This window comes from Homo sapiens, chromosome 15, assembly GCF_000001405.40.
Source record: "Homo sapiens chromosome 15, GRCh38.p14 Primary Assembly".
In the NCBI taxonomy this organism is placed as follows: Eukaryota; Metazoa; Chordata; class Mammalia; order Primates; family Hominidae; genus Homo; species Homo sapiens.
The window spans coordinates 83602568-83616041 of record NC_000015.10 but is presented as its reverse complement, the minus strand read 5'-3'; the positions used below and the strand labels follow the sequence as shown (position 1 = coordinate 83616041).

At 43.4% G+C, this 13474-nt stretch overlaps 1 protein-coding gene across 21 annotated transcripts in view, besides 2 other annotated features; it reads right to left on the bottom strand.

The window, feature by feature from the left end:
* SH3GL3 (SH3 domain containing GRB2 like 3, endophilin A3) overlaps positions 1 to 13474 on the bottom strand; it is a 186480-nt gene that overhangs the window by 17779 nt on the left and 155227 nt on the right. For 6 of the 21 annotated variants that reach the window (XR_007064483.1, XR_007064484.1, NR_136711.2 and 3 more), the window contains one exon: positions 6576 to 6772. The exons of 11 other annotated variants lie outside the window; for them this stretch is intronic. Coding sequence is in view for 1 of the 10 variants with exons in the window: in NM_001324182.2 (NP_001311111.1) it covers positions 4455 to 4624 (170 nt within the window). In the remaining 9 variants the exon portion in view is untranslated. Of the gene's footprint in view, positions 1 to 4454; positions 4629 to 6575; positions 6773 to 13474 lie in introns of those variants that run through there. 4 more of the 21 variants (XR_931879.3, XR_007064485.1, XR_001751372.2 and 1 more) reach the window with 3 other exon arrangements.
* Positions 2495 to 2664: an enhancer, noted in NCBI's record as "experimental_41540 CRE fragment used in MPRA reporter constructs". NCBI's record gives its function as "activates a minimal promoter by MPRAs in K562 erythroleukemia cells, with activity observed for both the introgressed and non-introgressed 15:84282215 variant alleles {active_cell/tissue: K562}" and the evidence as "EXISTENCE:reporter gene assay evidence [ECO:0000049][PMID:34662402]".
* Positions 2792 to 2961: an enhancer, noted in NCBI's record as "experimental_41539 CRE fragment used in MPRA reporter constructs". NCBI's record gives its function as "activates a minimal promoter by MPRAs in K562 erythroleukemia cells, with activity observed for both the introgressed and non-introgressed 15:84281918 variant alleles {active_cell/tissue: K562}" and the evidence as "EXISTENCE:reporter gene assay evidence [ECO:0000049][PMID:34662402]".

Below are 13474 nucleotides of genomic sequence, written 5' to 3'. Positions count from 1 at the left end.
TGGGGCAGGGAAAGGGGTTTCTATTTTGTTTTGGCATGAATGCACAAATTGAAGAGTATAAGCAGTCAAACTAATCAAACTTTCTATTCATGGTTTATTCTCCACAGTCCTATATAAAGACTCAACTAAATTTTATTCTAGTATTTTTATTTAATTTTTTTCACATCAGAACTTTTATAATCTATTTGGATTTTGGCAAAATGAGGTAAATATCTATTATATTTAATAATGCTTATGCAGTCATAACAACATACTTAAATAATCCATATTTTCTCCAGTGATTTCAAGTATTGCCTTTATCTTTATCATATATTTAATCATCATGGGACTTAGATCTATTTTTGGATTTTTTCTATTTTGTCCCACTGACTCATTTTGGTAACAGTACCATATCATTTTAAATACTGTGGCTTTATAATAAATGTTAACAGGCCGGGTGTGGTGGCTCACACCTGTAATCCCAGCACTCTGGGAGGCCAAGGCGGGCAGTTCACTTGAGGCCAGGAGTTTGAGACCACCCTGGCCAACATGGTGAAACCCCATCTCTAAAAATACAAAAGTTAGCCAGGCATGGTAGCGCATGTCTGTAATCCCAGCTACTCAAGAGGCTGAGGCAGGAGGATCACTTGAACCTGGGAGGCGGAGGTTGCAGTGAGCTGAGATCACACCACTACACTCCAGCCTGGGTGACAGAGTGAGACTCCATCTCAAAAATAAATAAATAAATAAAATGTTAATAACTAGTAAAACTAGTTCATAGTCATTACCCTTCTATTTCAATATTTCCTTGCTATTCTCATGAATTCATTTAACTAGGTATATTTCAGTATTAATATGACACATTTCTCTCACAAAAATCTCACTTCAATTTTGACTAGTTCATACTTTTTTTCTTTGAGTATTAATAAGATTAATCTTAGGAGTTTTTTTTTTTCTTAATAAGTGACTTTTGCCATCCTATTTGATGATTTCCATTTTTATTTCCTTTTTCTGTTATAAGACTTTTTCCTCCCTCTAGACTTCAAGTGAGAATTGAACAAGTTCTGCTAGAGATTATGTTCTTTCTCCACTAAGTCTTCTAGGTCCAAGTAAAGAGAATAGGTACGTTGGGGTATTTCTGTGGCTGGCCAAATGAGATGCCCCTTTGTCCTGGGGAGGGGTAGAGAGGTGACAGCATTATGGGAGGAGGAAGACAAGAGTTGGGGCAATGGAGATTCCTGTTGTGAGAAGGATTATATTATAGTTGTTTAGACAGCTTGAAATTCATGGAGTAGCGCCTATATCTCTAAGGAACAGGGCACTCTAAGGAGCCTTCATCAGCGGAGCTCCCCAGGTTGTACCAAGGTGGCTTCCTGTTGCCTTCCTATGGCAGTGGTTCTCAACTTGGTGGCACACTAAACAGCCCACTGCCCAGGGTGAACCCGGCATCAGTATTTTTTGTTTCTCAGGTCCTTCCTATGTCCAGGGTAGGTTGACAACCACCAGTGAAATGATCCTCCCCTCTCCTTCCCCTAAGGAAGCGTTAAAGGTTAAAGAGACTCAGCTGGCGAGGAAAGAGAAGGGGGTAATGGTAGGGGAGCTCTTCTTCCTCTTCAGGGAGGCAGCTCCTGTACTGGGTCGTGACTTTGAAACTCTGAACCCACCTGCAATATAACCTCTATGATCTACATGATGTTTCTAGCCTCTAGACAGCTCCTTCCGTGACAGACCCCACCCCTGCCTAAGTCTGTGTATTCCTCTTGTCATAATGATGAAAGCTAGGGGGTGGAAGGCTGTAAATATTGGGGATTAGTTCACTATTTTGAATTTGAACAGAACAACATTCAATGATTTCAAACAAAGCATGGGGAATAGAGGGCTTACAATACAGAACTTTTCATTTTCCTTGGGTCATGGAGTGTGTATATGGGTGGGCAGGTGGGGGCTGAGCACTGAAAACCAAGGGCAACCTGAGCTGTGAGTCAAAGTCTACTTTATTAATGTATAACTGTTTTAATGTGGATTATAAAAATAATTATTATTCTTTTAGCATTTCTCCCACTACTAGACTAGTTTTTAACAGAGAAGGGGTCAGGTGCCAAACCACATGGTAGTCTCGGGAAGCATTTCCTTGAACACAGAATGTTAATGCTAGAATGGAATTTGGCAGTCCTCCATGAGTCCTCTCCTTTTCCAAGAGAAGCCATCAATGCCTCTGAGAGGTCATAATGGCCTGGCCCCAGGGCTACTGGCTGAGCCAGAAACAGGAGGGCTCCAGACCCTAGGCCATCAGCTACCTTGCTCCATGTCACCTCGTACATGATCTATGACACCACTAAGGGTTGCCAAGACATTTCATAGGCTGACACACTGATTACAGGGCTAATGATAGATAGATAGATAGATAGATAGATAGATAGATAGATAGATAGATAGATAGATTTATATATTTCCCTCCCATTTACTCTATAAGCCACCTGCAATGACCAAAATGCTTAGTGGCAAGCATACATTTGTCCAAGTGTATGCACCACCTCCATGTGTAAACCAGGCCACCACCTCCATGTGTAAACCTGGGTTCTTGCTGCACACACACACAGAACAAATCATGGAAAAGCTGCATTACTCACTTCTCATGTCATTCATTCTTGGCAAGGAACCACTGCCACATTGCCCACTTTGATATTCTGAGAGCTGGAAAGAGACCAGCACTCATATCACACTCCATCAGCACCTAAACCCAAGGCAGGGCATCTCTCCAGAGACCACTGAGTAGAAAGACCCTGTTCAAGAACTCCCTGACTCAGGCAGTACAAGTGCACCTGGCCCTCCAGCCACCACTGGGCTGGCTACAACACTAAGAGCAATTGGCACTTGCTAAGTAGGCAGTTGGTAAATCCACCCCAACCAGAGCTCAGACTGGCTGCCCTGAATTATACATGCAGCCGGACGATATTCTGAAGTATCAATGCATTTTTCATTCTGGGTCATTTCTGTTGCCTGGGGCCCTCAACCCAAGGAGCTGGGGCTTGCCTCCCTTACTTGAGGAGGAGGGTGGAACCCAGACATGAACAAAGCAGTCAATGTTTAGCTTTTAAATTCCCAAATAATACCATTTCAGTTGTGAAACATTGTGAAAGCCAAGGCTTTTAGGCTTTCATGCTAGAGCCAGGTAGGCTTTTATAAGATTTAAGAGCGAGAGAGAGAGAGAAACTTCTGGGTTCCAAGAACTAGAGCTTGAAGAACTCAGAGCCTAGCATTTTGATTACAAGCCATGGAGAGGGAGGAGCTGTTTCCTGCCATCCAGAGAAGAGATACAAGCTCTTTCTGGAGGCAGGGAAGCAGGGAAGGGGCCTGCAGTGAGAAGAGGGTGAGCAAGAAAATTGAAATGCTCCTTGGATGCCACCCTGGGGAAGGGGGTCTTAGACTCCACTTTCCACAGAAATCCCGGGAGAAGGCAGCTGTCAAAGTTCTCTGGACTAACACGGGGGCTGGAGCCCAGTGGAAACCATGTGGTGTCACTAAGTACAGATGGGGCCTGAAGGCTGGTCGCTCCCTGTGAACTGTGAACAAATTCCCTCAAGTCCCCAGCAGGAAGTGCTGAGGGGCCACTGAGGCCAGAGGCTGCCTGGGGGCAGTGACACACGGCTCCAAATACAGAGATTCAGCAACCCAGAGAGGGAGGCCTAAGCCACAGATGTCAGCACAGATCCTGGCCCAGGCCCCAGGCCTCCTGTGACGAGTCACCTCAGCTGTGGAAGTGAGCCTCCCTACCTGCCACCATGATGTTCTGTAAACCCCCCTCACATCTAGGCAACATCTTAGGACTGGACCAGGGGGAGGAGAGAACCTTCAAGAAAAACCAACAGCCCTGATAGGGAATTTCTACTCTGAATTGACTGTGTTTAAATCTGGAATCGCCTAAGTCATAAACGGATAGTCTATGCTTTCTATTGGAAGAGACTGAGCTACCTTGAAATGGCAAGATTATGCTTTTTTCCACCATTAGAAGAAATGGAAAAAAGATTTTAAAGCTTTTTTTTTTTTTTGGTCAACAACAGAAATGGAAAAAAGATTAAGTTGTTTCCGCCATTGGTCTACATAGAGGCTTGCAAGCAAGTTCAGTTCAGCTAAAGAGAAATTAAGTTGCTGCCCGCCTGAGGGACAGTGTGTGAATTTTCCCTTGACACAAAAGTCACCATGGATGGAGCCCCAAAGTCCAGGCAGAATGGGCTGGATTTCCTCAATGGAGGCTTTCCAACTGTTAGATATAAGCCTCTCCAAGGGACCTGAATGCTTGGTTTCCCACCATCAGAAGCCAGCACCTCAGCTGAAAACGTCTCGTAAGAAAAGACTGATCCTACCCAGCGTCCCATCCCTGTTGACAACCCCTTCCCCTTGCCCCTGTGGTCCTGCAGCTGGCAGTTCCTCATCCACCTCCACCTCCTTGCTCTCTCACATTCAGTAGCTGGCACCTGGAATCGCTGGGCATAGTTGTGTAGGAGCTCCCAGGTGGCTGCTGTGGATCTCGGTGTCCTTGAACAGGCGGCTGAAACCCCTGACCCTGGGCTGTCCAGTGAGACGGCTTCAGCCAGCACTGCCCTCCCCAAGTGGCCTTGTGTTGATTTTCTCTTACTCCTGAGACCTGGCTTCAACGAAACGTGAGAGCAGAGGTGGGAAAACACAGTCTTCCTTGTTAAAGTATTGAAACAAAGATTATTTTAACAGAGAAAAGGGAGTGTCCCTGTTAAATATTTATTATTCAAGCTCTGTTCCACACCATTAGGAAAAAGAGAAAGAGAGAGAGAGAGAGAGAGACCCTACCACAAGAGTTTAAGACGGCTGGTCAGTAAGTACTGTATCAGTAACACAGTAGGAGGTAGGAAAACCACGTCCCCCCTGAAATAAACTGAACTTCCCCCTTGGCATTAATATGGTTCAGTCCCTCTTATTTTAACAGCAGGAACATTATTTGCGGTGCCCCTCCCCCAACTCCACTTATTTTGTCTCTATATATATATATAGACACACACACATACATTTATACACACACACATACATATTATATATATATATATATATTTTTTGGCTGAAGTCCCTGCTGCTGCAAAGGGTTACTTGCATATGCAGAAATGCTGAGCACATTTTATTAAGGTAGAGGCGGTCCAATCCTACAATTCCTCAGCCCTACTCAGCTACAGGGACGAAATAATAACTCTCAGGTGTTAGTGTTTACCATGTGCCAGGACAATATTTTAAGTGTCTCAGAGATATTAGTGGATTTATGGATTTAATTCCCAGAGAAATCCTATGAGTAGGTACCACTATTTCCCCCAATGTGAGGGATGGAGAAATTGAGGACACAAATTTAACACAATTAAGCCACAACACTGAGACTTGACCTCGGGCCAGGTAGAGAGTCCACGTTCTTGATCCCTATGCAATATACCCCCTGAAAATTGTTAGTTTGTGGTCTTATCCCCACTCTTTTTCTTTTTCTTTCTTTTCTCTTTTCCTTTTCCTTTTTTCTTTTTTGAGACTGTCTTGCTCTGTTCCTCGAGCTGCAGTACAGTGCCCTGCTATTGGCCTGCAGCCTTGACCTCCTGGGCTCAAGCAATCCTTCCACCTTAGCCTCCTGAGTACCTGGGACTACAGGCACCATCATGCCCGGATAATTTTGGTATTTTCTATAGAGGTGGGGTCTCACTATGTTGCCCAGGCTGGTCTCAAACTTCAGGGCTTAAGTGATCCTCCTGCTTTGGCCTCTCAAAGTGATGGAATTACAGGCATGAGCTACCACGCCCAGCCTTCTCCCACACCATTTCTGAGCCAATCCCATTCAATGGGGTGGCCCATCAGCTGGGCTTGGAATGAGCCTTTGGGTCCTCAGCTCAGCATACCTCAGGATGCTCCCAGGCCTTTGAAGGCTCTCTAAGAGCATTCTCTACCTAAATCCTACGCAGATCCCCAGGAAGGTCTGTCCAGGTCCCACCTAGCCTTGCCTGTCGCACTTGAGGGATAACTTCCAGGCACTTAGTCTCTGTCCTGCCTTCTTCAGCCTGAGTTCCAGCTTCAAAGTGAGCAGCTCAGGCTTCAGTTAAAAACAGTGCCCACTCCAGGTGGTGGATTAGACACCAGAGTAGAGATGGCATCAGAAGGGACTGGCGTGTCTGCAGCCTGGCCTTCTCATTTTCTCTCTCTCTCTCTCCCACATGCCAGGATCTGGAAGCCTGTTCTCCAGGGCTCCATCTCTAACCCTGACTTTAAGGGAGGTGAAGGTGGAAAGAGTGGTCAGTGGCGCAAGGGGCATCCTTCTCTCTGTTGCACTAAAACTCACAGCTCTTTTGTGGAACTTGGGTTCTTTTCAGACCACCGAAGGAGCCCACTGTGCTTGCTCCTTTGCTGGCCTTGACTTTGGGAACTTCATGACCTGGAAGCATTCGGTCAGAGCATCCCCACTGAAAGGCAAACTATGACCCCACCCCCATAGTTATTTCAAGGGGCAAAGGGGATGGAGAGAGAAGTAATTCATACAACGCTGTCAACATAAGTCCCTGTTGGGGTACAAGGTATGGAGTCTCCCAGAAGCTACTGACCTGAGTAGGGCTCTTTGTCTTTTAGTAAATCCCCCAGACTGCTGTGTCTTTTGAGTGTTTTTGTTCCTGCTTTTTATAGTTTTTCTCTTGCCTCCCTTGTAGTCTGGCTGCGACCTGTCACTTTTTCCTGCTGTCAATGGCCTTCCCGAAGCAGTCCCTTGGGCCTTCCTAATCTGCTGGTTCCAGTCTGCTGTAGGCTGGGAAATCAGATAACCGATTATGTAACATTAACAGCGCTGCATTGTGGGCTCCTACTCTGTACCGAGTCCCTTTCCCAGCACCCCTAATTCACAAGATCTAATTTAATCCTTAGAATAATCCTGTGAGGTAGCAATGAGAATCCGCACTCGTCAGATGACGAAATTGAGACCCAAAGGTATGAACTGAGCCAGGATCTGGGCTTCCCTCTGACTCCAAAGCCCACTTTCCAGCAAGGCAGGTTAACACCCCTTTGGGCTGGGTGGGCTTATATTCCGCTCACTTCCTGGCCTGAAGTCAGGAAATCCAAACATGTTCCCTTATTACTTACACCACTTGTAGAGCAGCTGATGAACAGAGAGGAAGGTAACCATTGATGAGGGGAGTCCATGCCCCAGTCAGGAATGGGACCCCAAGTCTCCTAGAAGCTTCGATCCCAGAACCCAGGTTACCCTGAGGTTTGACTGTACCTGCACCATCAGACTAGACAGTTCATCTCCTACCATGGGCGGGCGGGGGGAGTGGGGGGCGGGTAGAAACCCAATTTGGAACTTTCAGGTTTATTTCTGGTTCCAATTCATTTTCAAACTCTCACCGAGTGTTTGAAAGCATGGAGCCAGGAGCATGGAGCCAGGCACCGTGCTCAATCTGTGAGATACCATCTCCTCTGAGTTCAAACAAGCATATCTGGTTTAAACTCCCTTCAAAAGTTTCTTTTTTCCCATTTATAATCTCAAATTCTTATAGCAGAATTCATTTGAAGCACATACTTTCTCTCTATCTGACCCAGATACAACACTGGTGTCTAATGCTGATAGATACCACAGACACTATCTAGTTCAACATCTCTAACATATTGTTTTTGTCCATGGGTAAGAGCGCACTGGACAGAAGCTTCAGATCCCTGCATCTTTGCTATGGATTAGGTCATCTTTGGGTCCTGATTTCCTTATCTGGAAATTTGAAGTGTTGGTCTATGAGGGTTAAGTTGTGCACTACTAAGTAAAATCTAGTAAAAGTCAATGAACTGCTGTCTTTCTAGAAATAACAGCCCTGTATTTATCCACAGGAGATGTGATTTATTGAAATTACTTGTCAATGGAACTCAAGCTTAATCATTGAAATCTGTAAAAATAAGCATGTGTGATTTATGTTAACCTTAATGCCAATCTTCCTCAATTTACTCGGGTTATATTAGATGGGTTTAACTAATAAAGTTTTGCCCTCCCCCACCTTACAAAACAATGACTTGTCTATTGTGATGACTTTTGCAGATACCTCAAAACCTGCGGGCCATTTATTTATCAAAATAAACTTTCTGGCAGGTGACCCCTCTATTGCAACCAGGTCCAATGTGTGTGGGTTGTTTTTTTTGTTGTTGTTGTTTGTATTATTATTATTATTATTATTATTATTATTATTATTATTTGCCACTCTGAGTTCTGGAAAATGGAAATGCAAACAGCTGCCTTAATTAGAGTTGGCTTTCTGGCCATTGGCATAGTGATCAGCTTGCAGATGATACCTCGTCTGGCCTGCTCCTTGCTTTTTTACAATGTGGATTAGTTGCCAACATCTAAAAGTCAGGAGATGTCACATAAACATAGGGTTTCTGGCTTCTCTTGAAAAATCAGAAAGGCTAGCTATGATGGGCTCACATTCTCAGGCAAGGGGCGCTTGCCGTAGACTATCGGCCACCCCCTTCAGAAAGAACAAGTGTTTTCTAGTTGTTGAAGACACACCTCCCTCTGTCATGATCCTGACTTGGAAGCTTAGAGTCAGCCATTTATCACCAGCCTTGCACTATTTTCTTACACTTTTCCTATGTCTCTCATTCCTAAAATCTGGCATTCAAGTTTGCACTTGCAGCCACATCCACTGGACAACTCTAGGGGCTGTCATTCATATGGACTCAGAGTCCTCTGGATGGTGCAACATCACTGTTGCCTGGTTTGTAATCCCAGGAAACAACTGACTTCTACCGTATTTTTTAAAACAAGTACATAAATTAATATTTAGATGATGGTATTTTACATTTTAGCTTATGGATCAAATGTATCATTATAGAGTATATGTTAAGATTTGAAAATATGCAGCACTTGAGATCATTTCAGCAAAGTCAAAATTCCCACAACTAAGTTAGAATTTATGTCTTACGGCTTTTCAAAACTCTTTTTACAGACTGTTCAGAATAATTACAGAAAACCATTCCCTGCAGTGAGGAAAACTTCCCTCTCTAAATCTTCCTTCAAATTGGAAAATAAGAGAGAGACTCTTCCTGTTCACCGCACCAATGGCTACTGATCAACAATAATAATCATATTTCACACTTTAATTTTTAAAACATTTTTTAAAATATAGAAAATATTTAAATGTTCAACCTGTCCACATTTCAAATTATTAAGAATGCTAAGTACTCACAAAAGACAACTACTACAGCCACAGAATTTAGAGCTAGAAAGTACCTTGGAATGTATTAAGTCCAATCACTTCCTCTAGGAACAAGTTCAAATCGGTCTAGAGGTGCTAAGAAACTCACCCCAACTCATACAACTAAGAAGTTCCAGAATCTGAACTATAACATGGGACTCTTGTTTCCTTATTTATTTCTCTCTTGTCAATAACTCTGACTCTGAAGCACTACTTATAATATATAGAAATGGATCTGGGGGGAAGGCTATTAGTGGAGAAGGGGAATAGAAGAAAAGAGGAGGAAGGAAAGAAGAGAAATGTAAGAAACAACCTGCTGACCGAACAATCACCATTGTCACTGTTCTGTGAAATTTTAATTTCCTCTTCGGAAATGTAGGTTAAAAAAATTGCATATATTTCTATTTGCAAAGTGTTCATCTTTAATTTTCAAACTTCACATTTCACTTTTGAATAAATGTTTATTTTCTAATGTAATCCTAGACATTTTGTGCCAATGAGGGGAAGGATTTAGGCTCTAGAAATTATTTCCAAGCTGCCTTAGAAGTGTGAAGAAATTTATAAAAGTCTCTTTTATACCTAGAGAATTAGAAGGTCTTAATACAAGCCATTTGGGAGATTTATTTCAACTCACTCTGATGTGCCTGTAGCACACATTTGGAATACATATTTGTTAACTAATTTCAGCCTCCTATATGTTTAAAGCAGGTCCCAGTTTGGGGCATATTAACCCTTAGTTGTGATTACACAAAGTGGTACCCCTTTTAAGAGTTTCAGCAAGAAAAAAAAAAACTTCATAAAAAATGAGTTGATAAAATACACTTTGTCCTCTAGTCTTTAAATATATAATTCAGGAGGTGACAACCTGGGACCTGATACAAATTCCCCACAAGTGGGGAAGATACTTGAGCATGGGTCACAAATTCCTACACTATTTTCTTCAACATCAGTGGTTTTCTGGGAGCTACACAGGCACATGTTTCAACTCAAGGATGTTTCCTGGCCTCCTTTTCTCTTTGGGGACAGAGGGGCAGCTTACACTGATGAAACAGCATGACCCCACACTCGCGGGCTTGGACAGGCACTCGTTTCTCCCAGCCAGGACCTAGAGTTGGATTTTGTCTGCAATCTGTCATTTCAAGATGTGATTCTCCCCTTTCTCCATTTTGGCTCACTTTATTCATTCTCTTAACTACCTAGCAATGATATTATCAAAGATTCCATCTCAGTCCCACGATGCATTCTGCTTAATTGACTTATGTTCTTTCATCTCTCTCTTTTTTTCTTTAGAAAGAAGAAATGATGAAGAAAATGTTCTTGGAATTCATTTCTGGCAGAGTCTCATGAGCTTTGCTTTCATTTGTTAGTGAAATGCTTGACATTTTTCCTTCACTTTATAAACATTATGTGCAAATCATTCAGAATCCTAATGGAAAGTAATTTCCCATTAATGCAGGCTATAAATGTCATTTTCTTTTGAAACTGTGCCTCAGAAACAAACAGTACAGGACCCCCTTTACACTGGCAAATTCCACCCACAAATCAAGGAAGCCCAATGCTGGGTGTGTGAGACGGGAACTTGAAGCTACTACCGAGGGAAACTTAGAAGAAGCAGCCTGGGACAGGCACAGGCAAAAGACACACAGTGGCACACAGTAGAGTTTGCTGCAGTGGAGAATATGGGACACTGAGCCTTCTTAAAAGCCAGCTTCTGCACGTCTGTGATCTCTGTACATCGCCCTTCTAGGAACTTAATCTGTCTAGGGACCCAGCTACTGGCCAAGAAAGAGGGGACAAAGCACTGACATGCGTGGCCTCAATGAGGAAGCCAAAGACCTCACTGTCCTCTGTTTTTCCCTTCCAAGTCAGATGCATTTAGTGGGCTCCCTGTGCAACCACCTGCTGACCACAGATTCCCTGTAATCATGAATCTTGGAAATAAATCATTCCCAATGCTCTTGGCCATTTCATAACATTCCCCTAGTATTCCTTCTTAATGATATAACATGAAATATCTATAAGGTAAAGTACCCAGCTCTGCTACTTCCTGGCTCTGTGATCTTGAGAAGATCTCACTTAACCTCTCAGAGCCTCTACTTACTCATCTGTAAAATGGGGACTAAAAATAGTACTAGAGATGTATACAAAGTATTTATACAATATCTAACCCATAGTAAGTAGCCAATAAGTGTAGTTGCTATTGTCATTATCTTATTATGTGTTACTTTTTTTTATTATCACTTCCTTGGAGTACGGTTATGAGGATGAAATGAGTTATGTCTATGTCTACAAAGCACCAAATAATAACTCCTGGCATACTGTTGGCCCTCAAAGGCTAGGTCCCTATGACCTTAAGGGATACTTTAATTCAAATACCTTTTCATTTTTATAAGGCTTAACACTCTCTACACTGCCAGTCTGTGAGCTCAAATCAAAGGAAAGTTGAGTTCTCTTTGGTGGCAAATGAGAGAATGGTGTCTTGGGAGCTTGACCTGAGGTCCTGTCTCTAAGAACTACTCGGGTGCAAGCTGGAAAGATAGAGACAGTGGGGCAAGGACTGAGCCCTGGGGTCCTGGGTTCTCATTTCCTCAAATATAATATACTGGCATTGAAGGAGGGAGGCTGAGGTTGAACTCACTGTCAAAATTTTTAGTTAATTTGCTTATACCTAGCTTCTTTTTTTTTTTCTTTTTAGACAGAGTTTCACTCTTGTTGCCCAGCCTGGAGTGCAATGGTGCGATCTCGGCTCACCACAACCTCACCGCAACCTCTGCCTCCCGGGTTTCAAGGGATTCTCCTGCCTCAGCCTCCCAAGTAGCTAGGATTACAGGCATGCGCCACCATGCCCAGCTAATTTTGTATTTTTAGTAGAGATGGGGTTTCTCCATGTTGGTCAGGCTGGTCTCAAACTCCTGAACTCAGGTGATCCACCCGCCTCGGCCTCCCAAAGTGCTGGGATTACAGGCGTAAGCCACCGCACCGGGCTGAAACCCAGTGACCTGTTAGATTATGGCAAAACATTTGAAAAACTTTTTGCCTATAATAACTCTTAAAGCAGACCATATACCAGTAGCTCTAAAGAAAGAAGGTGAATAAAGCCAGAAGGTTGGATGTTAGCTAAACCTTGGTGTGTGTAGCAAGTTACTATAAGAAAGACAAAAGTTGCCCAGTCTACAAGCAAAGATAAAAGAAAGAGCAGAGGTTGGTTCCTAATGCATTGGAAAAGCAAACTGTTTCTGTACCCCAAAGAAAACAAGATAAGCAGATTGCTCTTCCAAATCATTCTCAGAGACCTCCCTAAACTAAAGGAACTCAGCTGTGTGGCAAAGACGCAACGAAAGGTGTCACCTTCCTACTCAAATCTGCTGTTTCAGGTGGTCTCAAGGTAGCCTCTGTAAGTTAAGAAAGCGAAGCATGGGTAAGACAAGGAAGGAAAGAAATGAAAGTCTTAAGAGCTATATCTAAGAAAGAACTTTGAATGTGTTTACAGGCACATGGAACTGCCTGGAGGTATATAGATCAGAAGCTCATTACGTTTTTTAAGAAATCAAGTTGTGGCCAGTGTGGTGACAGCAGTTTGGGAGGCTGAGGCAGGTGGATCACTCAAGGTCAGGAGTTCAAGACCAGCCTGGCCAACATGGTGAAGCCCCATCTCTACTAAAAATACAAAAATTGGCCAGGCGTGGTGGTGCATGCCTATAATCTCAGCTACTTAGGAGAGTGAGGCACAAGAATTGCTTGAACCTGGGAAGCGGAGGTTGCAGTGGGCCGAGATCCCACCACTGCACTCCAGCCTGGGCAACAGGGCAAGACTATCTCAAAAAAAAAAGGAAATCAAGTTGTGAAAAGAAGCATAAGCCTAGCCTGAAGACATCTGTGTCTACTAAACTGTAAGGAACCCACAAGGTCCCTGAGCAGCAATAAGTACAGATGTCAAAGAAGGTAGCCCTCCAAAGCCCACTTACAATGTGGTCTTGGAAGACACATTTCTCAGAGAGCAAATCTAGGAGCCCACAGAATAAAAGACAAAAGAGTCTCCCTGATCCAAAATCCAGAGAGCAGAACCAGGGTCTAATCAAGACACTTTCTTCACTGCCAGGGTAGGGGGTCCTTGAAATTTCTGCCCAGCAGGAGTCCATCATTGTTATGGACTGGTACATGCAGTGTATTTCCTATTTGCTATGGCCTGAATGTGTGTGTTCCCCCAAAACTCATCTGTTGAAACTTAATCTCCAATGCAATAGTATTAAGGGCTGGGACCTTTAGGAGGT